This window comes from Homo sapiens, chromosome 3 (genome assembly GCF_000001405.40).
Source record: "Homo sapiens chromosome 3, GRCh38.p14 Primary Assembly".
Taxonomy (NCBI): domain Eukaryota; kingdom Metazoa; phylum Chordata; class Mammalia; order Primates; family Hominidae; genus Homo; species Homo sapiens.
This window is the reverse complement of record NC_000003.12, coordinates 25,556,296-25,582,928: the sequence shown is the minus strand read 5'-3', so window position 1 is coordinate 25,582,928 and position 26,633 is coordinate 25,556,296. Positions and strand designations below refer to the sequence as shown.

The 26,633-nt window shown below is 45.7% G+C and overlaps 1 protein-coding gene across 10 annotated transcripts in view, besides 3 other annotated features; it reads right to left on the bottom strand.

The window, feature by feature from the left end:
- RARB (retinoic acid receptor beta) overlaps nucleotides 1–26,633 on the bottom strand; it is a 768,612-nt gene that overhangs the window by 15,004 nt on the left and 726,975 nt on the right. For 9 of the 10 annotated variants that reach the window (NR_110893.2, NM_001290216.3, NM_001290300.2 and 6 more), the window contains 2 exons: nucleotides 13,011–13,171; nucleotides 2,207–2,383 (listed from right to left, as the gene is read on the bottom strand). Coding sequence is in view for 8 of the 10 variants with exons in the window: in NM_001290216.3 (NP_001277145.1) it covers nucleotides 2,207–2,383; nucleotides 13,011–13,171 (338 nt within the window). In the remaining 2 variants the exon portion in view is untranslated. The remainder of the gene's footprint in view (nucleotides 1–2,206; nucleotides 2,384–13,010; nucleotides 13,172–26,633) is intronic. The other variant, NR_110892.2, reaches the window with a different exon arrangement.
- Nucleotides 8,944–9,471: an enhancer, noted in NCBI's record as "H3K27ac-H3K4me1 hESC enhancer chr3:25614949-25615476 (GRCh37/hg19 assembly coordinates)". NCBI's record gives its function as "activates a minimal SCP1, AML or CMV promoter by ChIP-STARR-seq in naive H9 embryonic stem cells {active_cell/tissue: H9 hESC(naive)}" and the evidence as "EXISTENCE:reporter gene assay evidence [ECO:0000049][PMID:30033119]".
- Nucleotides 9,472–10,000: an enhancer, noted in NCBI's record as "H3K27ac-H3K4me1 hESC enhancer chr3:25614420-25614948 (GRCh37/hg19 assembly coordinates)". NCBI's record gives its function as "activates a minimal SCP1, AML or CMV promoter by ChIP-STARR-seq in naive H9 embryonic stem cells {active_cell/tissue: H9 hESC(naive)}" and the evidence as "EXISTENCE:reporter gene assay evidence [ECO:0000049][PMID:30033119]".
- Nucleotides 14,114–14,615: an enhancer, noted in NCBI's record as "H3K4me1 hESC enhancer chr3:25609805-25610306 (GRCh37/hg19 assembly coordinates)". NCBI's record gives its function as "activates a minimal SCP1, AML or CMV promoter by ChIP-STARR-seq in primed H9 embryonic stem cells {active_cell/tissue: H9 hESC(primed)}" and the evidence as "EXISTENCE:reporter gene assay evidence [ECO:0000049][PMID:30033119]".

Genomic DNA, 26,633 nt, shown 5'->3' with positions numbered 1-26,633 from the left:
GTATTACAGCTGTTAATGTATTTAATCCCATTTAAGTAATTACCTTATTTAATGCCTTGTTGATTTGCATTTCTATTTTGTACATAGGTAAACAGAGGCTTAGAGAAGTTAAATAACTTCACCAAGGTCACAAAAATTGGTTTCTGTTCTACTGACTCTACCAAGGGGCTAATGGCTAATGCTTGGATCCATGGGGCTGGAAGAGTGCTGCAGGATTCAGTGTAAGCTGAGATGTGGGAAGAGAGGTGCTGGAGGCAGGAAGGGGATTTCTAAATTGAGGAAGGGGATTTAAATCTTGTGGAGACTGCACCCTGATCACTAAGTGTGTGGCTGTGCAGAAATAAGACACTTTCCCGGAGGATCTCAAAGCATACCTCTCACTCCATATGTTGGGGCTGAGTATCACAAACTGTCATCATCTGGCAACTAGACAAAAGAAGGATTAAGAAACAAGCAGAAGGTCAAGGTCAGAGCCTGAGGCCTGGGAAGGCTCCAGGCCCTGCTGGGTGGCTGCGTGATGCAGGGCTGTCAGAATGACACAGCATTGCTTGCTGTGGACTTGATTTGCTGTGAGTCACCTCACAGACCACTCAGACACTGTGGTGGTAACTCCAGTCTCTGCTAATATCTTGGAAGTGTTATGAGGTTTAGGGGAAATTCTACTGAGTGTTACATTTTAAGTTCTTGTCAGGAAAGCATTAAAAGGCCCAGTAATTTTCATTCATTATTCTAATAGCTCATTGTTAACATCATTATTGATTCGCCCACATTGTCTCTGTTACTCTCTGGTGGTCTAGCTCACTGTGGCCCACAACTCTCTCATCTCTGCTATCCCTAAGGGCTCCTGTTTATGCTTCATATCCTCTTTTACATCCTGTTAGGCCTGGAGGTAGCCCAGTACCACTCTGGCCGTATACCCCACTCCACCCCGATCTTGCACCACCCCCATCTGTGACCTTGGGAAGATCCCTGCCCTCCTGTCTTAGTTCAGGCTACTGTAACAGAGACCTGGCCCCTTAAACAACAACATTTGCTTCTCCTAGGTCTAGAGGCTGGAAGTCTGAGGTCAGGGAGCTGGCATGGCTGGGTTCTTGGTGAGGGCTCTCATCTTAGGTCACAGCTGCCTTCCTGCTATATCCTCACAAGAAAGAGAAAGGGAGCTCTGGTGGCTTCATCTCCTCATAAGGGCACTGATTCCATCTTGGGGCTCCACCCTGTAACCTCACCTAAACCTAATCGCCCCCGCCCAAAGACCCCACCTCCTAATACCATCACATTGGGAATTAAGGCTTCAACATATACATTTTGGGAGGATGCAAATATTCAGTCATAGCACGTCTGTGGGCCTCAGTTTCCTCACCTGTAAAAAGGGGATCCCTGATGCCCCTTCGCTCCCTGCCCTGCTCACGCTACTGCTTCTAGAGCCTTAAAGAGGGTAAGGGGGTCAGCACACTTTGTCTTCCACAGGCTGGAAGTCCACCCTCTCTTTCCCTGGTGGGGGCTTCAGGCTGGGACTGTTTCCTTGGATGGGAGCAGCTCCCATTAGACGTATGTACGCAGGGAGGCCCATGGAGAAAGTGGGATGGGGGACTGGCCTCCAGGGATGCATCAGAACATAGGGAAAGTAAAATCAGCTTTTGAAGTGCTATAAAAACATTGCTTTTTTATTAGGTCTCTCATAGCTTTGGGTATAAACCATTCTGCAAAGCAAATACAGTTACTATAATTAAGCACACGAACGCACTCCCACTTAGGAGGAGAGAGGTCCCCGTGTGTGGTGGTCGCACAGGAAGCTTGAATGTTTATGTGTCCTGTTTGCTAAACAGACCTGAGGAAGAGTGGCAATGATTACTCAGTAACTTACAGGTGCCAGGGGTCCTGAGAGCATATGTGATGATTTTGTTTCTTGTAAAATCAGGGGGTCTGGGGTAAACTTAGAAACAGACCAGCATTCACCTGTAGAGTTTGCCAACCTCAGCCCATTTGAGCCTCGCAGACCTCAGTGAGCCTGAGGGATGGGAATTCAGCCCATTTCACAGATAAGGAGCCAGAGGCTAGGTGAGTCCACCTACTAAGTCAGGTGAGTGCTAGAGTCGAAACTCAAAACCTCCTCTGGAGATCTTCAATGTCTCTTGGTCCCCTCCCTCCCCTCCACGGTGCCCTCTCTCCCTCCCCAGACCCATTGAGAGCTCAAAAAGGCACATACCAGGATGTCCAGGCAGGCGGCCTTCAGCAGGGTAATTTGGTCTGCGATGGTCAAGCCAGTGAAACCAGGCAGACGTTTAGCAAACTCCACGATCTTAATAATGCACTTGGTGGCCAGTTCACTGAATTTGTCCCAGAGGCCCAGGTCCAGTCGGACTCGATGGTCAGCACTGGAATTCTAGGAGAGAGAGAAAATGTCATCAGATACAGTTTCCGGGAAGCTCTATAGGAGGGGAGAAATTCAATGTGTTTCCAATTAGAGGGGGTGACATGTCAGCCTTGAGCAGGCAGGTTGTTGGTGGGACAGCTACATTTTTTTTAGCCTGGATTCATCCTTTTTTTGTGTGTGTGAGACGGAGTCTCGCTCTGTCACCCAGGCTGGAGTGCAGTAGCACGATCTCAGCTCACTGCAACCTCCACCTCCCGGGTTCAAACGATTCTCCTGCCTCAGCTTCCCAAGTAGCTGGGATTACAGGCGTGTGCCACCATGCCCAGCTAACCTTTTGTATTTTTAGCAGAGCCAGGGTTTCACCGTGTTAGCCAGGATGGTCTCGATCTCCTGACCTCATGATTCACCCGCCTCGGCCTCCCAAAGTGCTGGGATTACAGGCGTGAGCCACTGTGTCCGGTCGGATTCATCCTTTTAAAACACTTAAAATCTTATGCCTGTACCACTGGATAATCAAGTAACAGAGGAGAGGAAGTATCTCTGTATGCAGTTATCCAGCTAACAAACAAGAAAGGAATGAGGAGTCACCATTTTCTAACTCTGATGAATGAATGGCTCTAAGCATTGACCATCAGTACTTGTTAATCTCTTAAAAACACGCCACCTGTCATGCTGATGTCCTGATGGAAAAACACACCACCACCCATGAAATATTCTGGCCAGAAATCAAACTTGAATCTGACTGAGACTCTAGATAACCTCAGGAAATCCAGGGACACGGTAAACTACACAAAGTGGGTACAGCTATCAACATCCAGAATGCCAGAAAATCCACAAAACCAATGAACTGGTTTCTTCAATAAGAACATTGCAAGAGAGAAAAACAAGTGGAGAGAGAAATCTATAGATTGAAAGCAACTCAACCCAAATGCTCATTAACTGATGGGTGGATAAATAAATTGTGATTACAACTTTGCAATGAAAATGCTAGGTAGCGTTAATAAGGAAGGAAACTGTAATACATGCTACAACATGGATAAACCTTGGAAGCATGCTAAACCAAAGAAGGCAGACATAAAACGCCCATACTCAAAACGATTCCATTTATATGACGTTCTGGAAAAGGCAAAACTATAGTGATTGAGAACAGTTCAGTGGTTTTCCAGGAGCGGGAAGGCAGGTGGGGACTGACCACAGGTGCACAAGGAAACTCTCTGGAGCAATGGAAATATTCTACATCTTGACTGGAGTCAGGTTATGTGACTGTATACTTTTATCACACTCATCAAACTATACCTTTAAAAAAGATAAAAATTACATTATGTAAAATATACTGCAATAAACCTGACTTAAGATACTGAGAAAACTGACAACCAATTGCATGGTGTAAACCTTATCTAAATTTTAATTCAAAAAATAAACTGTAAAGAGGTGGTGATATATATGAGAAAACCAGAAATATGAGCTATTAGGTGTTAGAGATCATTTTATTTTAGGATGGTAATAATGGCACTGATGCTTTACTTTCGTTTGCAGGAGCTTCTTTCATTTAGAATACATATTAAGATATTTACAGATAAAATGATGAGATATTTGTAATTTACTATCCAACAAAAGGCTGACGTTTGGTTCTCTGACAAATGTAAACAGCTCAGGAGAGGTACTGTGTTTCTCAAACTGATATCTTTAGTTCCCCACCTCAGTTAAAATCAGTCTACAGGAAGTGAATAAAACTAGCTCTTGCTTTGAACGTCTGCATGGAAAGCCAGAAAGAAGAGTTTGCACGAGGTGCCACAGACACTGTAAAAACGAAGGTGGTCAACTTTGCCTTCCACGACGTTCCTTGTGGAGAGTAGACATGCATCCTCCAGATTTATTTTATTCCTTCCTCAAGGACCTTGGTGGTATACAGTACACTTGAGGGAACATGAGATCAAGATGTGTGGCCATTTGGGCCGTAATTAAATTTAATAGGCAGTTTATCCGGTTCGTAGGAAGATGACACGGAAGAGAGGGACGGAGAGTCAAGCTTATGGAGGGAAATCATTTTACAATAGAGTATCCATCTGGAAAAAAAGACATTGCCCCGACCCAGCAAGTGTGAACGAAACCTTCATCAACATTGCATGAGGTAACTTTATCACGCGCCAGGGCTGAGAGAGAGGAGCCTGTCGTACCTTCTATTAAAAATAATGCACAGCCGTCTTAACGGCATGTAAATCTAACTCACTATTATGCAAACTGAAGGGAAGAGGCAGTTAATAAAACACAAAATAACCTGGTGTTTTATTATACTGGCTGCTGGATTCATAGGCATGAGGCTTCAAATGGCTTATATATTATCTTCCAGCTGCGGCAAATGGAGAGCCCTGGCCTGCTTGGGTTGGTAATGAAGGCGGCTGTGGGGAGCACCAGCGAAGCGTGGATTTTCAGCAGCATTTCTGAGTGTGCAGGGAGGAAAACCAACAGAGAAGGAGAAGCAGAAAGTGGGGTGGTGAGGAGTGACCCTTGCTGTGAGTATGAGGCAGGCTGATGAGGAAAACAGCCAAGCCAGAAGGGCAAGGGGCTCTCCTCCATCTGCTGCCGACTGAGAGTCTGGCCAGGGCTTCCAGAGGAGGTCCCCTCTTCGGCAGGGGCTACAGGAGCTGCAGCGCCTCCCCAGGATGCCGCGTGGTGGCCCATATATGGAGGGTCGCGCCCATGGCCCCCCAGGGCCATCTTAAGCAGCAGAAAAGCCCAACCCTACTATGAAATCCAATTAAATGGCAAGTTTTGCCACGCAAATGGATCCCTTTCTTCTGCTGGTTTGGTTCTCTGCTGCAACGGGCTGCCTTCCTGGACTGGCAGGACTTTCAGAACAAGACCCATAAAGGAAAGTGGAATCACCAGCATCTTTAAATCCCACTGGAGGCAGCTCCTGGGTATTACAGTGGTTTGTTCAAGCGTTCTGGCTTTTTTTTCAAAGTTAAGAAGGAAATGTAAATTTTCATTAAAGAAATAAAGAATTAAAATTCTGTGGCAATGTTGGGTATATCCATGGAAGTGCCTCCTTCTTCCTTAGGCCTGAAATCCTTCCACCATCCTGGAGACTGATGTCCTTTCAAGTTCAATTTGCAGACCATCCCTGTCACCCACATTCAATTCCTGCATTTTGTATGTTTTTGCATGTAACCACCCCTTTTTCTAGGGCTTGCCTCGTGCCAGGCACTGTTCTACATGCTTAACGATCACCGACTCTCTTTACTTTTCACAGCGCCCCCATGCGGTAGGCACCATTATGGTCCCCATTTGGCTGATGAGGAAGCGAAGGCCCACAGAAGTGCAATCATTTGTGCAAGATCCCGCGGGCGAACCGGAGGGTGTGGGATTCACCCACACAGTTGGGTTGGGGTGTTTAGGCTTCCCACCAGTGCACCACGTCACCCCCTCCCTACTGGTTCCTCACATATTTCTACTTTCTGGTTAGAACTTCCTGACTCCTAAAGCCTGTGGTTGCATCTGTGATCTCCCTCCTTATTGGAATCTCTGGATGCTTCCATCAGGTGGCTACAAGAGCTCCAGCACAGCTATGAAGAGAATGTTATGTGCCGGCCAACATCTCTTTGTGGTCAATACACACATTATCTAGGCACTATGAGAGCATGGCTTCGGGAACGTCTGCCCCCAACAGAAGAGAAGAGAGGAGAAGGCCCCCAACACGCCTGCAGCATTTTCCTTAGGACCAGATGCCTCCAACAGGTGGGGAGAAGGCAGCTTGGCAGCCACCCTGTAGCTCTGGGTAGACAGGAGGGCGTGATCTTAAAGGCATGGTGCAGCCTGTGGCTAGAGAGGGCTTCGAGCAAAGGGCAATGGGAGAGGGCAGGTAGGGAGGGTCTCTAGAATCTTTCGAGTATTTCCTAGCAGCCTGGCTAAAAAGCAAGAGTGATGCCGCAGGATTCCCCTGGAGGTCACGTTTCAGGCGTGCTCCTGGACCACCATCGTCTAAGATTCCTGAGCTGGGACATGACCTTGGAAAGGACCATCTATCCATCTGCAGCCCCTTCACTCCTGGGGTTCAGAGATCTGGGGCCTTGGTCGAGTGCAGGGGTGGGGTGGTGGGTATAGTCCAAGGCCCTAGAGGATGTCCAAGAAATGCTAGAATTCTGGAGTGGTCCCAGCTGCTGGAAGGGGCCACGAATGCCTTCTGGAGCTGCAGGGCATATCTGAGAAAGATCAAAAGCCCTGCCCTGTGTCCCTGCCGAAGCCTTCCAGCCAGACACAGCAGCTAGGCACCACCTTCTTCGAACTGCTTTTTCTCATGACTAGAAACTTCCCTTGGCTCCCTAGGGCTAATGTTCACACACCTTATCCCAGCACCCAAAGCCCCTAGGAAGCTAGCCCTGACCTACCTCCTCAAACTTAGCTCTGCCTCCCTCCCACCCAGCCCCATCCCTGTGAAACCCTGTGCCGTGTTCATGCTATTGCTTTTGCTGGGAACGTCTTTCCCTTATTCCATCACTGAGGAAGAATGTGGGTACTTAGCACAGTGCCTACAGAACATTTTTCTTCAAAAGATCAGGACTTATGTGTGCTGCCAGAGGTTTCTAAATACTCACAACACTTGTGACAAAATTTGATCTCCAGCTAGACTTTGCAGAGAGCGGCAAGCATGGAAAGGTAACATCCATGCACTCCAGTTCTGCACTCACTAGGTGTTACTGTTTGTTACGGGTTAAACTGTGTTCCTCAAAAAGATGTGTTGAAATCCTAGCCCGAGTATGTCAGAATGTGACGCTATTTGAAAATAGTGTCTTTATAGGGGTAATCAAGTTAAAATGAGGTAATTAGGGTGGGCCCTAATCCAGTATGACTTGGTGCCCTTATAAAAAAAAATGTGGAAATCTGGACAGAGGTTGACATGCATAGAGAGAAGACGATGTGAAGAAACACAGGGAGAAGATGACCATGAGAAGACGGAGGATTGGTGTCATGCAACTACAAGCACTGCCTTCCACGCCAGAAGCTACAAGAGGCAAGAAAGGGCTCTCTCCCAGAGCTGTCAGAGACAGCGTGGCCATGCACACACCTTGATTTTGGACTTCTAGCTTCCAGAAATGCGATCAAATAATGTTGTCTCAAGCCACCCAGTTTGTATTATTTTGTTCCAGCAGCCCTAGGAAACTAACACAGTAGGTATGCAGTCATTGTTTGTTGCAACATGAAAGAATGGTCTAGGTCAGGGGTCCCCAAGCCCTGGGTCGTGGATGGGTACTGGTCGGTGTCCTGCTAGGAACTGGGCCGCACGGCAGGAGGTGAGTGGCCAGGAGCGAGCGTTATCGCCAGAACTCCACCTCCTTCAGATCAGCGGCGGCATTACATTCTCATAGGAACATGAACCCTACTGCAAAGTGCGCATGCGAGGGATCTAAGTTGTCCTTCATGAGTTTCATCCTGAAACTATCCCCAAGCCCAGCATCTATGGAAAAATTCTCTTCCATGAAACTGGTCCCTGGTGCCAAGAAGGTTGGGGACCGCTGCTGGGTGATACTGGCAGCACAGGTGTGTTTACTAGCAAGAAACTGAGGCTCACTAAGTTAACAACTGGCTCAAAGTCAGACAGCTGTGAGGTGACAGTGGGGACTGGAACTCGGGTTTCGTGGCCCCCACTGACCTTCTATCCCTCCTGATGCATCTCTCCTGGCAGCCCGAGCTCCCCGAGTTCCAGGTTCTGCTCCTCTGGTTGATGGCAAATGTTAGTTTCCAAAAAGCGCACCGAGTCCACCCATGACAAGTGCTCAAAACAGCCTTCCTTTTCTATGGTATGTCTCCTGGAAAGTCTTTCGTGGTTAATAATTCTGTTTGTGGTCATTTTTCTGAGCAGGTTAAGGGCTTCTTAAATCTTCATAGTTCATATTCACAAGCCCCTCGGAGGACAGCTTACCTCCCGCCAGGCCCCACCTGGTGATGAGCGGCCCGCACACGGCAGAGCAGTGGGAGGCCGGGAGCAGAGGCGGCCCGGAGCAGACAGCACGAGCTGGGGGTGGGGGCTACACCACCTGGAAATCTGTCCCACTGTCACACCCACGCTAGTTTACAGAACCTGGGCATGTGGCTCGAAAAAATGACAAGACATTTATGATGGGGTGGAGAGGAGGAGAGCTGCACATTCGGCACGACTCCTCTGTGCCGGAAACTGTGCAAGGCGCTCCATATATTTTTCTCATGGAACCCTCCAGGCAGGAGGTGGATGTTTTTAAAACTCCCATTATACAGATGAAGGAGCTGAGGTGCAAATGATGATGTAACTTTCCAAAGTCACATGACTCCTAAGTAGCAGGGATAAGAGTTGAGCTTGAATTTATGAGGCCCTAAAGCCCAAATGATACTCACTAGGGTTCACCCTAAGGAAGCGGAGAACACGTCCTCAGAGCGAGGATGTTACCTCTGGTTCAGTCCTGATTCTATTTTGGAAAGCTCATCTATAAATAGCTTCTCTCCTGCTTTCCACCTTTCCACAGGGAATCCACCCTCTCTCCTTTTATGGCGGCGGAGGGTCATTGGGTAGAAACCTTCCCAGGGATACTAGCTCTGAAGATTGTGGGTGAGTGCCCTGCCCTGGCCTGAGGTGGGGGTGGTGGGGATATGTTTCTGCCTCTTCCAGCCATTCCTGCGGTCTCCGGGGACCCAACCATTTGTCCCAAATCCACCCTAATTAGGGAAGAAAAAGGAACTACTCTTTCAAAGATCTGTAGATGCGCAGTTGGCTGCCTTTCTTATTCCTCTCTGCCCACTAATTCCAAAGGCATCTGACAGGGATGCCACTCTGGTGAAGATGACAGGAAGTTTCCTGCCGTGGAAGCAACTGCCTGTCTAAAAAAAGCTCTTTTTAAAAATGCTCAACTCCGAACTAAGAGCTTGCAGAGAATGTGTTATGGCTGCTGTTATTTATTTATACCACCGACTTCCAGAAAGGATTTTAAGTGGCTCACAATAAAAACACAGCTAGATCTGGGGAGAGATAGTACAAATGAAGAGCACGGTCAGCTGCGAGACTGGCTCAGAGCGCCCTCCACCCCGCGGTGGGCAGCAGGCCTCCGGAAGGATGCCCAGTAGTGAAGGGCCACGCTCTAGAGATAAAATCGTGTTTCTGTTTTTCTGCCTGACTGGGAGGTACAAGAAGTCTCCACAATGTGTTTAGGAGGGTGGGCCCCAGTTGAGGACTGGGGGTGACTCACCCCCATATTGGGGTGGATAGGAAAGGGCCCTGGAGGCCTGCAGGGAAGCCTCTCTCTCTTAGGCCAGAAGCCGAGGCTGAGACTAGAATTGGAATGCACGATAGTTTATGTGGGAGGAGATCCCAGGAAGCACTGGAAGAACAGAGTGGGCAGGGAAGGAAGGCGGCCAGCGGAGATCATCACTGTGGGCAGTCAGAGCTCGATCTAGTTGGGAAACTCTGGGACGTGGTTTAGAGGATACCTAAGAGTATCCTGCCCAACGAATAAGGAAGCTGGGGGGGTTTATCTCTCCACGTTCTGCTCATCAGTGGTGAGGGACCGCTCGCAGGAGTGGCAATGCCTCACATGTGAGCCATCCTGTAGGAATCCCGGTCACACCAGGGCGCATGTTCCAGGAGCGGCAAATGCTGTACGTTGTGTTTGTCCTGCCCTCCTCCAGGTTAGAGTGGGAGCTGTTTCACCTGATTACTAGGTGAGTCAGGGTCTGGGGATTGACTTGGCTATGCTAAGATACCACCTGGAGGAGGCGGAGGGGGACCCTGATGTAGCAGTTACTGGCCCTAGGTATTGCCATATAAAGTCGCTCACCTCATGACCTGGATCAAAAGTCTCCTCTTTCAGGAAGACCTCCCCACTCTCATCTCTTTTCCTCTGACTTTCTTGGAGCTACAAGATTGATTTATTCCTGGGTCACAGCTCTCTCCTCCTAGCTAGATGCCGCCAATGGCCCCAGCTTCCATTCTCCCTTTTTGGCAACCCTCTCAAGGGATTCTGTGTATAGTATACTGGTTAAAAGAGCTGCCCTGGAGTCAGACTGTTTAGGTTCAAGTCTCACCTCTGACCACTTGTTGACTAAGAGACAAGGGGAAAGTTATCGAGCCTTTCTGTACCTGGCTTTTGCATCTGTAATATGAGGGCAACGAAACCCAAATCACAGAGTCCTCATAAGGAATAAAAGAATTAGTATACTTATAGTACTTAGCATGGTCCCTAGTACATAGTAAATGCTCAATAAATATGAGATGTAATAATGATTACAATGATAATAATAAAGATTTTTGACCACAACCATCAATTACTGTTCATTATTTACAGACTCCTCAAGTGGCACTCAAGACTCCGCCAGGCTTTTCCCATTCTCACTTCCCACTTGCTCTCAACTCAACACAGTCCACCATTGCACAGCACCTGTTTTCTCTCATCTTCTCTTTTCGCCCCTTCCCACTGTGCCAGCCTGAGTTCCCTCATTTCTTAGGTCAAGACGCCCTCACCTTGATACACAGCTCAATACAGGGCCTGAAATGCCACTGAATGGTTGGCAATTAGTAAGTATTTCTAAAAGAAATAAATGGCATACTTTCAGGTATTGGTTATTCATCATGTTACTTTTCTGTATTGTCAGATGCACCCAGCATGGGGGCCAGGTCTCTGGAGGGTCAGTTAGTATCCAGTAGAAGGTACGTGTCTGGATGATGTTTCTGCCACTCCACTGCTGGGTAGATATTTTTGGGTTCCATCACAGCAGCTTTTCATAAATTGTCTCATTTCATCCTCCCAACTATTTCACATTATTCCCATTTAGAGATGGGAAAACTGAGGCTGAGAGACGTTAGGTAATTTGTTCACCGTCATGGGGCTGATGGTGGCTGAGTAGGACTTGAAGTACATTCGTGTGGTTCCAGGCCTCTGTTCTGGATACATGGGGTCACATTCCACTTTCTCTCCCAGGTGAAAATGAAAGCTCCCTTACAGTGTCCAGTCTTGTCCTGGCCTGTGTCCCTGCTCTGGGATGGGACAGTGTTCCCCAAACTCAGTGAAGACTGGTTGAGGTTAAGCCGAGACTCTCCCTCGGCCTGGCAGACATGCCAGTGTTTCTCCTGGCTGACACCAATGGGCGAGGTGGACCCCAGAGTGCCACCCTGGGTGTTGCTTCTCAAAGCCCGGCTCATTTGCTCTTCAGAGTCTGGTCTGCAGACCAGCAGCATAAGCAGCCTGGCAGCTTGTTAGAAATGCCCCTAGGCCATGCCTGCTGCACCAGAACCTGCACTGTAACGAGTTCACCAGGTGCTTCAGATGCACGCTGAGTTTTGAAAAGTACTGCTCAAGGTTCTACCTCTGCTTCCAGGTGAGCCAAAGTCTCTGAGCTCAGCCAGGAGACTTGTCTGTTTAAGGTGGGTGCCAGCCCTTCAGAAGCTGGTGCCACCCAACTGTGTAGTCTCATTTTCATCTGAGAAGCCACCTAGGTTTGTGCTGGCCCCAGATTCCATGGGCGCCCCTCTGGGCCTGCTCCTGGTCACCATTATTGTGTTACAGATACCACCAACATCCTAGCGCACTACACCCCATGCTCACCAAGAACTGCTCCAAAGCCCCGCCGCTCACTGTTTTTTTTTTTTCTTTCTGGTATCACTATTTTGTCTTTTGATCTTCAGGACCTCCCATGCTATCATTTTTCTAGAACACCATTCACCAAGCCAGCAAGTGCTACAATATTTGGATTTTGTTTTTAAAGTATGTTTACCATAGCATTGTAGGTGAGCAACCTAAGCTTTTTAAAGAGGCCAGAACAACATTCTAGTTGTATTAATTCATCAAATATCTACTGAGTGTCTATTACATGCCACAAGTTAGAAATATACATCAGTGAACATAATACATGCAAAAACCACTTGGAAAAATTAAAGCACCTCATGACCCCTCCACTGGCACAACCTAGACCAGCCAACATACACCTCCTACCTTTTTATCTCACTTCTCTTTTTCCTGCCTCTCTTTATTTCCAATCTCAGTGAAAGGCCATTCCTAGTGGAACGCTGGGAAGCAGAGGGGGAACATTCACTCAACTGGGCATGGGGCATGCCTACCCCAAACTTTTCTAGGCCCTGGCTTGGGGGTTTTGTACATGTCCTCTCACAGAAGGCAAACCTTGGCCCAGGGGATGGCCTCTTTATCTTGGTTGGATTTCACAGATGGATTGGGGTTTTTAAAAGATCAGGCCCCGTCCCCCTGGGTCCCTCCGTACAGAGGTCCGTCATGACCCATGTAACGCTTCACTGGCTTTACTTGTTTCCTTCACCAGATCAAAGTCTCTGAGAGCAGCACTGAATAGTTCATGTTGCCAGGGCTTAGAACACAGCCTGTCGTATAGCAAATACTCAGTTAATGCATCTAGAGTGAATGCATGTGTGCATGACTGCAGTGAGGCGGCACTCAGCCTACTCACTGATTGCCCACGCCCAAAGGCTACCTCACAGAAAGAAGTGGCTACTACATAGCCCCAGCTGGCTAGCATGCAAGCCCCTGCCAGGCCCAGTGCAAAGTGTGTGTGTGTGTGTGTGTGTGTGTGTGTGTGTGTGTGTCTGCACACATGCACGTACAAGGTTTCCACACTCCCAGCAGCCTGGGGCAGGAGTATCTCTTACCGTGGTGTATTTACCCAGCTGGCAGAGTGAAGGGAAAGTTTCCTGGTGAGCTTTTCGGATCTTCTCTGTGAGATCGTCCAACTCAGCTGTCATTTCATAGCTCTCTGTGCATTCTTGCTTCGAAGTCTCCTTCTTTTTCTTGTTCCTGTCATTCCTGACAGCTGGAAACGAGAGAGAAGGCACATCAGGGGTCGCTGAAGGCTGGGCCTGTGCTCCTGAGCTGGGAGGTTCCACCTCCCAAGGCTGCCTTAAGCTCATTTGATATTTGGGACAGAAACAGTGGGAAGAGGTGGTAATAACACACCTCCCTGGAAAAGGGATTTGGCAGCCGCGGGACCCCGGCAGAGAGCTAGGTTTGTCTTTCTGTATATGCATGTGCCCGTCAGTTGTTTGGAGAGCTTGGGCTCACCCAGGAGGCTCAGAGTCTTGGCTTGTTGTGAGAGAACTTTTTCTGTGGACTGGATCTCTTGAAGAGAGAAGGATTTTTCCAAGAGCTTTACCCTCAAATGGGATGCCCTGAGTGACATTGTAAGGGAAGGGTCAGGTCTCTGAACAAAGCCCCGTTACTTCATAATTAGTATTTCCTAGCTACACATTTTGGTGTCTTTGCTTTTTAGTTTTCTGAATTAAGTGACAGGCACTTTTGAAGAAACTCATCTGAGAGGAGATAAGGATGATGGTTTTTGTCCCTTCGTGTTTTTCTGCTTTCTAAACTTTCTGTATGAACCATATTATCTGTTTTGGAATATAAAATTACTTAAAAATAATAATTGATACAGTATGAAATCTTCAGCCTGGAAAACCATTCATTCCCTTATTCGCTGGTAGCCACTTGACTCCACGTTGTGTCTGGAACACTGGACCCACAGCAGGTGTGTGTCCTTTCCCTCTGCATGCTCCGAGCCAAGCACGGTGCCAGGCACAAAGTCAGGGCCCAGGACACAGTGCTATGGAAGCCCGTGCTTCCTCCTGCAGCACAGACCTCTGGGATGACTTCAAATCCGAGTGTAACTCAAAGCTCTAGCCCCTGGCTAGGATCTCGCGAGGAAAGAAACTGAAACCCAGGGAGGCAGACAGGCGAAACAGACCATGCCACCCCCTCCAGGGAGTCCATGTTCTCTGGGGCCCAGCGGGTGCCAGGCTGGATGCTGCCTGGCTGTGCATGCCACCACTGTGACCTGGGAATCTGCACTGCAAAATGACCCAGGGCATAATCTGATCTGCCCTAAGAGGATCTGGCCTGAGTTGCCTCCCTAAGAGCACACGGGTGATTTGAGAACTGGCAGTTCCCTGGGTCCACACCATGAGAATACCCATATTTGGGGTAGGAGCTGAGGGCAGAGTAAGACAATAGCAGGAGGAGAGAGGAAGTGGTGAAAGGAAAGAGCAAGGGGTGAGAAGGGGGAAGAAAGGAAAAAAGGGAGGTGAGTCCTACTACAAAGTCAGTGTCTGTACGAGCCACTCCTACCTAACCAGGAGGGAGGGCAGCTGGGGAGACCAGGAACATTTTTTTGAGTCCCTTGAACATGGTATCACGGTATCTCACTTGATCCTTTTATCAGGTAGGCAAGTTTAAACCCATTTTACAGATGAAGAAACTGAGTCTTGGAGAAGCTAAGAAATATGCTCAAGTTCACGTGGTTGAGAAGTTCCTTCCTCACTTGGACTCACTTACTTATTCCTAAGGAAACCAACAGGTCTGAAGAGAACACCCTTCTAGACAGTTTCCTTCCCCCAGGACTCTGAAATGACACTGCTCATTGGCTCAGAAAATTTCTAGATCACTGGTGAAATGAGTGGGAAGTGCAGCCTCAGCTGTATTCTTTCCCAGTGCAGACTGGCCCCTCGAGACCTCTGTGACCCGATCCCTCCCAGCCGGCGCAGGACGCTGGGTGAGAGTGGGTATCATGGTTCAAAGCAGAGAGAATGCAAAGAAGCCGGCGGGCAAAGGAGACACAATGAGGGGGAAAGGGGTCATGCAGGGTGGCAGAGGCGGCATGGTGGCTCTCCGTGAGGATGGAGTCTGGGCTGCTGAGGGGAGGGAATGCCTGAAGGCTTGTGTGTGAGTGCGCAGGATCTCAGGTGATCAGACCCCCCTCTTTTCCTCGGCCTCTGCCAATGGCCTTCCTTAGCTAGTGAAAAAGTCAAATCTAAGCAGGGAGGGTCCTTCTGAAACAGAGCCCCGAGGAAGAGTACTCGGCAGTTTTTCTCAAAGTTATACGCAGAGGTACCATGTGACGCAGCAATTCCTCTCCTAGGTGTACACCCAAGAGAACTGAAAATATGTGTCTATGCAAAACTTGTCCATGAATGTTCATGACAGTGTGACTCACGGCAGTTGAAAAGTGGAAAGAACCCAAATGTTCATCACCCGATGACGGGGAAGTGGAATCTAGGACGTCCTTATGGTGGAATATTATTTGTCATAGAAAGGAATGAATTATGGATGCATACTACAACACAGATGAAGCTTTCACACATACGCCTTAAAGAAGCCAGTCGCAAAAGGCCACACATTGTGTGATTCTAAATTATATGGATGTCCAGAACAGGCCAATCCAAAGACAAAAAGTAGACTCGTGGCTGTCAGGTACGGGGGCAAGTTGGTGGGGAGGGAGGATCGGGAGTGCTAACGGGTTCAGGGTTTTGTTTTTTAGGAGATGAAAATGTTCTGGACTTACTGGTGAAGGCTGCACAACTTAGTGGATCCACTACGCACCGCTGAATGGTACAGTTTAAAATGATGAATGTTATGCTACGTGAATTATATCACAAAACAACACCAACAAAAAACCCAGAGCCCTGTGGGAGGTGACACATCGCTAAATACCAGGAACTGTTTGAGTCGATTCTGAAGCTGAGATGACACCTACAGCTACATTAAAACACAGCAGCAGCCTCACTACCCTTTAGTGATTGTGTGGCAAGGGCCACTGGGCATCAGCAGGTGAAGAATCCTAGCTCGCGAAATCCCCACAGTAAGCCAGGTGAGGTGGGCCTTATGACCCCATTTCTACACTCAAGGAACTTGAGGCCCAACAATACCATGTTTGAAAATAGTCAACCCAATGTGCAGAAAGAGAAACCACAAAACAAACTAACAACCCACAGAAGGAGTCCCCATAATCCCATCCACAGGGAAGTCTGCAGGACCTGTGTCTGCTCCTAAGCATTCTGCTTCACTGTCCCCATCCACCACCAGGGGCCTGGAAAACTCAGACGAGCAAACCCAGCTCTAGAGGGTTACCAGGAGAGAGGAGACACTGTGAGCTGTCACCATGAAGTAACTGAACCAAGCAAGAAAGGGAGGGGTGAGGTCCTGTGGGAAGGGGCCCTGGGTGAGCTGCAGCTGGGCACCAAGTTGGGCATCTCTGTTGGGTTGTGCAGTGATCACACACGCCGTTTGCAAAATCACAACTGTGAAGCCAGAGCACCATTTTCTGTGCTTTGGGCCCAATTTGGAGCAGCCTTTGCAGCTCACTCGAAGGGGAGCAGTGTGTAACCTCAGGCTACTTTCCACACTCCTTTTGTCCCCTACGTGAAGTCCCACCACCACTGTCTATGTGAATAAAGGACTCCTGGGATTATCACAAATTCTTCCACACCCACAAAATGCAGGGACAACCCCTCTGGTGATGATGCCCCAATTACATACAGCTTCATAAGTTGACGGACAAATTTTCTAAACACGTGGCTTCAGCAGCTGCTTCCCTCAATGGTTTTAAACTCTAGAAGAACGCAGACGCAGTGTTTGAGAAGGGCTGCCAAGAACCACCAGAATCATGGAGGTGACACAGTGCACAAGAAGCCACGGGGGCCTAGGGATGGTAGCTTTGTCCAAGTTCTTGGGACTATTGGTCCCTTTGAGGCCTCGTGGTCAGTGGCTCCTGGGGCAGTGCAGGGACTCGTTCCCCTGGAGGCCAGCAGTGGGAGGCAAGGGCGATACAAGTACTGCAGGGGAAGTCAGGAGATCTGGAACTAGTGCTAGCTCCACCACTTACCACCTGGGGTCAACTCCAGAGGAGACAGCTCCTTTCAGAGCCTCCCCCGAGATGGCAGTAGCACCTGCATGGAGACACACAGATGGTGGGCTTGGTGGGAAGGAGGTAGACTACTGTAAAGGCCTATGTGGGTTAGTTATGCAGGAAGAATGTAAGGCCCTTCCGTGGGGGAAATGGATGACCTAAACACCAAGGACTTGTGGGGATTACTGTGGGGCCTGTGGCTGTCAGTGGCAGAGGAGACTGATATGAAAAATGGTGCTTGGAGAAGCCATCGCAGTGGCACCAAATGAGTGGGTGGATTCATTTGTTCCTTCATTGTTTTGTTCATTCATTCATTCAATGAATATTTATTGAGTATCTACTATGTGCCATCGCAAAACAGGATGGTTGTTGCTACCATGGAGCAAAAACTTATGGTAGCAGACAGACATTCATCATACAATAAAACAGTGACAGTAATAATAATAATAATAGAATATTGGCATCACTATTATTACATGTACTGCAATTAATATACGAGAGTATTATTTACCACAATACTGAAAGTGTTCATTACAACTATCATAAAGCCTTCTATTCATGGTAGGCCATTCAATCCTTACAACAACCTAATAGAGTAGATATCACTATTATACCCATTTTGCAGATGAGAAAGTGGAGGCACAGGAAGGTGAGTACCCTGCCTGAGGCCATGCATCCTGTGAGTGATACAGTCAGGATCAGAACTTAGGAAACCCACTGTGCTCCGCTGCGTCTGAGTCTACCCCATGTACACACAGTCCACAGCGTAGTGAGTACAATGAAGGATGCTACAGGGAGCTGTGCCTGTGTATTACTGGGTGTGGCAGGGGGATCCTACTGGTCCTAGATTAGGAAGCTAACGCTGGGGAATTGGGAGGGTAAATTGAGGGATGCTATGGGATGGTGGGTGGGGAGATGACTCTCTTCTCTGGGAGCGTGGGGTGTGCATCTGATGCTCAGCTCCAAGGCTGCCTGGGATGTTTGATGGTGGACCTCTTCTTTCACTCTGATTGCGACTGACTGGTATATGCACTCATATACCTATGCCAGACCTGGGAGTTTGACAAGCTGCTTTCAGGTACGGTGCACCTCTGGGAGGGAATGGAGAGGCAAAGAGAGGAGCAAACACTGTCAAGCCTGCATCAAAGCCCTCCCCTCCAAGTCTGTGAATATCTGAAAGGCAAGGGCCACATGTTACTTGTCTCTATGTCCCCAGGGCTTAATACAAGATCCGACCCACAGATGGGGGCCTCAAAACTGTTTTGCAAATGATAAGGTAGACATATAACTAAATGTGGTGTTCTGTCCACTGTCAGGGCCTATATGTGGCAATACAGAGTTCACCTGAGCCTCTTTCTTCCAGAACTTAAAGGTCTCACTATCATGTTGGGGTCTGCGGGGGAATCACTAACTGCTCTCCACCCCTACAGTAGTAGCCAGAAGGTTGATGAAGCAGGTGGGGCATTCAGGGGGTCACAGATGTGATTTATACACCTGATAGAACCCGGCCTGATGTTTGCAAAGCGCTTCTTGGATGAAAGGTGCTCCATAAAATATCAAGTATTCTCCTTGTGAGGGGCTAAGTGCTACAAATCAGATTTGGTGGCATAAAAGTAACATATTTATGATCCACTATCATATTGCAAATGAAATGAATGTAATAAAAGTGTCACTTATACAAATACCTCTGATGTACGGATCTCGACCTATGAATATGAAAACAGACACCCAAGCACTTTTATTTGAATGTCTAATCATGGAAATAAATGAAGTCATGTTCATTTTAATGTGTGCACTTGTGCATGTATCTGGAATATTGATTTTCAGGCACACAATAAAAATTTAATGCAGGAAACATGCAAAAGATGTAGATTCACTTGGATTCAGGAAGAGATGAAAACAATGCTTCACTAAAAATCCTTTCACATCAAAAAAAAAAAAAAAAAGGAAAATACAATTGATGGTATTTTTGTCCATAAAGTTCTCTATATTCAGCTTAGCAAAGGAAGCATGATGGTCTATTTATTCTTGCTTGAAAATTAAAGTCTGGAATTTGTTCATCTTGACTCTTCAGCTCCTTGCTAACTGCAAGAATAATGAGTTACAGTTGGTGATTAGAACTATGGGGTTGTCATGAGTTGGGGATGACCTGTAACTAACACACTGATATATTTAAAAGAAAAACATTAAAACATGCTTTAATTTTAGTTAAAAAATCATTTTCTAATCTCATCATGTAAACGAGCTACCATGGATCTGAAGGCAGGTGGATCTATTACTAATTGTTAGAGACTTACTTTTCCCACAACCTAAGGATTTAATTCAAGCATTTAACATAGCACGTCCCACTGTAAACTGGGGAGAGTTGGGGTGAGTAAACATTTCTTCTACATCAGAATCTGCCTGAAGGTGGGGACTGTGTCTTTTTCCTAATAAAGTGCCTGCCATGTGAATTCCAGTTGAAATTGGAACAAATATACAGAGAAAAAAGGTCAGTGAATGAGGCTGCAGCTAAGTTTTCTTGCCACTCATGAGACATGTGCCTTTTGGACCAGGCTGAGGGTAGGGTGCCGAAGAGTATGTGTTGAATGAATCAAGTTATTCCATTTCCAGGGACTTTGATTTCAGGGTTTGTAAAATGGAGGTCAAAATGGAATCCTAAGAGGACTGCTCTGAGTCTGCAACATGTAGCATATGTGCAAGTACTTCAAAAGGTGACAGGAGGCCCCTACAACCTCGAAGTCTAAGAGATGACCTGGTGTCCATTGTGCCAGCAATTGAGCAAGGAGCATGCTTAGAATTTTTACAGAATATTGAAGTCTTGGGGGAAATTAGTCTGGACACAGCATTCTGAGAGTTTAATATGATCTTCCAGCTTAGCTCAGCTTCTTAAAATTATTCAAAGAAGTTATAGAAAATCTCTGAAATATCAGAATATACAGACGTCAAATACTTCTTTGTGGTTAAAGTGGTATGTTATGCTAATGAAACTTTCAAAACAAATTTAATCATATTTCCCTCACTGGTTACTTTTTGATATGCAGATTTTACCTCTTCTTGTGTGGACAGTCTTTCAAATACTTTTTCCCTCCTCTGTCTGGGCTGGTAAGGGCAGCCCTACTGTGGTCGCATTCATTTTCAGACAAGCACGGTGTGGTGCGCGTCCTTGCAAGGCAAGAGATTTAGTTTTAGATGAAAAATCCTTTTCTTTGGACATATGAGCTATAAGAAATATCCTAAGTTCAATTCCAGAAATGAGAAAAAAGAAAATGTTCTGGCTTAATGTATAAAAGTAGGAACTCAACAGTGAGTAGTTGAGGGATGACATGAACCCCTGAGATGCTTTCCTTCATACCCGGCGGTGCTTCTTTGTACATTTCCTCTGGCAGCAATGGGCTATTCTCAATGATTACTTTGCCTAAATCCTGTCCAAAGAGGCACACGTGTCTGTGGCTTCGTGTTTGTGACAGAGCTACCCAATATGAATAAGAGCTGAGATGAAGCCTTTTATTTATGGCATAAAACTGAATGTTAAAAAAAGGAAATTAAAGACACTGTGGCTGGCCCTCTGCTTTTTAACCAGGAATAAACTCACACACTTACTGTATGATCAATTCACCTTGTTTTTAAAAAACCTCTGATCTAGAAAAAAAAAAAAGGCTTAGTATCTCTTCCATAATCAATTTTCATAGGCAGGAAATTCTTCGCTGTGCCAAACTCAAGTTCACTTCTGCTGAAGCCCAAGCTGCCCTCGTGTATCTGAAACACTGTGAGTGGGTCTTTTAACTTTTTTGAAAAAAGGCTGACAGTCTAAGGTTCAGGAATCAATAGTCTTCAAATAGGGGTCCCATATATCTAGGGTAAAAAAGTTGAGCAGGGTAAAAAAGTTGAGCAGGGATACAAGCACACTCCTTTATATTTCTTTCATGGAATAGGCATAGACTGCCTTTCAAAAACAGAATCTGATGAAGGGCAGGAGGGCAAAAAAGAAATTTCCCAGCAACAGACTGTTCCAGATAAGCTTGTATCTTGCTCTGTGTCATGTATATTCTTTATAACAAGTTATGGGCTTTCAAATATTAAATAACAGTCTCTATCATGATAAAATATAATGGCCGGATCTTTCATTTCTACTGTCTTTTAAAAGCCAATACATTTTTAGCAAATGAACTGAAGTTCTGCTTGACATTTTCATCATACATTTCCTCTTAAAATGTTATGTAAAATAGAAATGAAGTTTTTCTCAGCTTAGGAAAAGAGAAGCAGAAGTCCCAAGAGACCATAAAGAGGACAGCCCAGTTGTTCCAGCCAAGACCACACTAGATCAATCTGGAGCCAGCTTGAACCTCGGAAAGAGCACAGGTAAGATCAGCAGAGTTGCCTACCCAGTAGAGAGCCCAGTGAACCCAGAAGTACAACCCGACTGATCCATGGTGCTGTGAACAGTAACAAAAGCTTATAGTTTTAAGCCACTGAGCTTGGGGGTAGTTTGTTACACAGCAATAATCTGTGTAATACAGTCTGTGTAAAGAGTGTTTTTATGCAACAGTAACACGTGCCCAAATGCCTTTTATGCTACAGGATATTTGAATACATGGTTCCCTCTATTCAGCATTTGAGGCAAGAAAGAAAACAATTGGTCATTCCTACCACTCAAAGATCCCACCCACATCTGTTACAACACACAGAAATTATGGCACTGTTCCCCATAGGTCTTAAATAATATGAAAGAAACAATGGACAAATGGAAGGACCCTGGGATAAAATTTCAAAGGCCTGCATTTTAGCTCGTCATTTATTGTACTAACTATGTAAGCTCAGGATAGTCTCTTAATGTCTCTGAGCCTCAGTTTCCTTATCTGAAAAATGAGGACATCAGTTTTTGTTCATTGCACACAGGATCTCATATATATTTAGATATATACATGATTGCAACACAATGTAACATGAACAAAAATAGTGGGAGCCCTATACCAATTTGTTTATTCACCAAACATTTATTGAGTCCTGTAGCCACTAAAGAAACAGAGTCAAATAAAGCATGAGGGGTTCTCCCTTCAATAAATGAAATGCACATGATATATAATATAGAATATAAGGATTTAATATACACAAAAGCTTTGAGATGTGAAATGCTAAGGCAGCAGTGGAGGAAGGAAGGTAGAAAGAAACCAAGGAAGGAAAAAATGAGGGAGGGAGGAAAGAATTTTTATCCAAGATGAGACCAGCATTCCAGCCTGGTGCTCTATAACTAGAGATTAAAGGGAAGACAGAGTATGGAAACTGTCAGTTATTAAGCTTCCAGTGGGTTCACCTCTAATGTTAGGACTGTCTGTCTGAACTTGGCTTAGTGAACATTTATGGCCACGCTCATGTCCTTGGGATTCAACGTTTTCTGAGATTGCTTAATATACGTGATGGATTTCTGCCTGAGCCATCCACATGTCAATAAGACATCTGAGAGAGATAGACAAATGGCTTATAATTTTGCCAGATGTTTGCCAAATACCGTTAAGATATTAATGTAGAGAAGCTCTTTCATGTTGTCAATTTTAGAAATCCAAATCATTAGAGAAATGGTCTACATGTAGATATAGGTGTTTATATCACATAGTTAGTTTAAATGAAAAACCTCACTTTACAGCATTTCAAATGGTTTACGCCAGTCTATATACCCCTAAGTGATTCTTAATGAGGTCCTGGAAATGCTAAAGTTTCTAAGGATCTTCAGAATCACCACATATAAATCTTGTTCAGTATAGCTTTTGTTCTAAATGCATTCTATTAATTTTTAGAAAATTGGCAGTCTATGTATGAGATATATGCTAGCCCACTGTTGGATATGATTAGTCAATTAACTATAACCTTCTTTCCTAATCATTATAGATCTGAACAGTGTCTTATAACTGGGAGTGTTTTTCATCCATCCATCCATCTGTCTATCCATCCAAATAGACATCCAAGAAAGAATTGCCTGTTTATCCAGTCCTTCTGTCTACTCATTCATCCATGCATCCATCTGTCCATCCTTCCAACTATCCAATGCAGCTGCCCATTCATCTGTCCCATTTTCCATCCATTGATCCACCTATCCATCCATTTGTCCATCTGTCCATCCTTTCATCTATTCATCTGTCCATCTACTTGTCTGTCTGTCTATCTATCTCTGTCCATTCATCAATCCATCTATCTTCCTATCCATCCATCGATCCAACCAATTAACCATCCACCCATCCAACCATATATCCATCTATTTATTTCTTCTTCTGCTCAAATAGTTATTGAGCACTTACACTTTGTTTGCCATTATGCATGTTAAAGACACAAGAGTAAGAAGGTATCATTTCAAGAGATTCACATTCTAGTAAAAGACACAGTCATCTAAAGAAATAACTATCATGCACTGAGCTAGATGTCAGAAGGGAGATATTCATTCTTAGACTCAAGCAATATGAATTCAAAACCTAAGGGACAGGTTGTAAGATGGTACTGAGACTCACAGATGAGGAAGCTGATAGTTTAGCCTGTGGGGCCATAGGGAAAAAACATCTCAGAAGAGAGGAATCTTGAGCTGAATACCCTTATAAGAATATGCTAGGTCTTATTCACTCAGAAATCCTCAGTGCACAGTCCAGTATCTTCTCCATAAGGAATGTTCAACATATATTTCTTAAATGAATGGGGCTTAGAGAGGCTAGGAGACATTCTGGATGAAGGGACCAATGTGCGCAAAGGCCTGAGGGTTGGAAAAACGTGGCTACATGATGGAATTTAGGTTTGCGGTGGCCTTTAAAGGATGGGGTCTCATTCAGGAGGCCAAAAGGGGAGGAAAAAACATTCTGGATGGGGGAGATATGAGAAAATACTTCCAAGAATGACTACATCATGTTTGAAGGGGAGTGGAGTGGCTGGTGTCACTGAAGAAAAATGTGGAGACAGGGATTGATGGGGAGAAATAATGAGGACAAAGAGAAGTGGGGAGATATAGTGAATCACCGCAAGGAAAAATATGCTAGACTTGGCAACAGAATGAAAATGGGGATGAAGAAGACGACTTAGAGGTAACAATAAGGTTTTAACCCCGTATTGGGCTACTGATGGTATCAAAACAGAGAAGAAATGTAGGGTAGCTGGTGGGGAGTAGGGAAGCCAGTTTCTGGCAGGAATATGATGAATTTGGTTTGAGGGGGCATGAATTAGGAATCCAGAGGCTGTCAGAGCAATGGCATTGTGGATTTGGCAAGAGAGCACCTCCAAAGTTAGATTATTTAGGAGTCAAACCTTAGAGATGACTGTTGAAGTCGTAAGCGAGGATGAACAATCTAAGGTGAGAGAGAGGAAAGATAAAAAAAAAAAAAAAAAAAGGGCCAGGAACTAATCCTTGGGAATTGCTAGTAGTTGATGGGAAAGGGAAAAGGATACGGGGATGAAAGCAGATGAACTGTGGGAGAAATTGGAATAAAAAACCGCAGAAACCAATGGAGAAAAGAATTTGAAGCAGCAGCAGCCTGGCCAAGTGTTCAAGTAGCCGCCAGTCAGAAAGAATGAAGAAGGAGCAAAGTTCATTGGTTTTGGCAATGGAGAAAGTTGTGACTTTCGAGAGAACATTTGTAGCAGAGCAATAAGGATGGAAGCCAGACTTGGGGGTGGGGAAGGTTAAGAGGAGGCCAGATAAAGTCCTTCAAAAATCAGCCTAGAAAATAAACTTGAGGCCAAGCGCTTGAAAACATGTTTTTTGTGTAATCCAACCTGTAGGAGAAGTCAGTGAAACTACCCATGTTTACAAACACAAAAAGGCTGTTTGAACTTCCCGGAGAATCCAAAATTGCTCATTTGCAGAGAGAGGCTCACTGGAGGGTCAATATGGAATGAGATCTTGAAATATGCATTCACTTAAATTCTATGTAAATATCCAAAGCAGGAGACTTGAGCTAACCAAAGGCTGGGAGAACCGAGTGCTTTCCAGGCAGAAAAGAGAGCCAGTTTGCAGACCTAGAGAGAAGCAACAGGGCAGCTTTGGAGCTCTGCAGGGAATAGGGTGAGGCTTGCAGTTCTGGGCTGTGGCTGGACCACAGCTCATGTGATTGTGTGAACTTGGCCAAGGAGACTTGGCTTTTAAGTTTATTAGGGGTTGCTGTTTAGACGAGTCACTGTTCATGGTGAAGAAATGATTAGGGGTATAGGGACCACTGAAGTAGTTGCTAGAAGTTCCGAGTGAGAGAAGAGGGATGTCTAAACCAGGGAGGGACTGTAGGGAAGTGCCAGGATAGCAGATGCAAGGTGCCAGGCAGCAGGAAGGGTCAAGGGTTTCCAGCTTGCACAATGATGGTGAGGGAACAAAGGAGGAGGAAAAAGGGCCTCCTCCTTCTCCACTTAGAATTCCAAGTGCCCATGTGCCACCCAAGTGGAGTTATCCAGTGTGTGCTTTATGTAATTGGCTATCTGGGTTTCAGGCTCCAGAGAAGTGATAGGCTGCGGAGAGAGCCTTGGGAAAAGCCCATTTATGATTGGAATGGTATCCATGGAAAATGAAGAGGAATTCCTTAGTCCCTCCGGGTTTTGTTTCTTCTAGCTCTTGACTTCTAGAAATTGACTTAATGTGAAATAGACTCAGTTATTCATTCCACTAATAGTTATTGAGCTACTACTGTGCAACAGATGCTGATGTAGACATAACCTATAGAGGAACTCAAAGCAGAAGTCTCTACTTTCATGGCAATTGTGTGTGTGTGTGTGTGTGTGTGTGTGTGTGTGTGAATGCAATGCCATGTGGAAGCAAAACACAAAGAAGGAGAACTTCTTTCAAGTTTACTCTAAAGACACCCAAACAGCACGTCATTGTGAGAAACTGCCTTATGCAAGAATGGTTCCATGTAATTTGTTGACCTACCTTGCACATCAGGAATTGTTTACAAGAATTACTATGAGAAAATAATAACTATTCCTTGCCCTTGGCTTTGAAATGCAAAGATGAGAGAAATTCCAATCCATTATGGAAATTCAAACTCATAATTGCCAACTGTCACAGACCAGTTTCTCAAATTAGGGCTGTGGTGTGTGACCCAGACTTCTCTTGCATCTCCCTCAGCTGTAAGGACAGTTTGCCATGAACAGGCAACATCACTGCTGTCATCAACCCCAGCCCTTCGGGGTGCTGGCTGTGCTAAGTGCATGACATACATTCTCATTTAATTCTTACAGCAGCCCCATGTGGTCAATGGCATGATTTACTTCCCAAGTTGCACATGAGGAAACTTTGGCCAAGAGACTTTAAAGGTCACATTTAAGCCAGTAATTTATAGGACCAGAATTTGAACCCATTTCTATCTAATTCCAAAGCTATATATGGCTCATACAATAATTCTTAAAACTTTTTGCTTTTTCAAAAGATTAGTGTTGGTAACAAGAATGTAATGAGGACTATAACTAGAAAATTTTTCTACTTGGCCTTGGTTGTCCTGAATGCCATTGAGGGGTCACTCTCAGTCCACATGTGTTACTAAAAGAAAATCTTAAAAAATGAAACAGCAGAAATAAGCCAAAGCTCCCAGGTCAGTCTCAGCATATGAAGTGTTGGCTAGAATTGTAGCCAACTTAG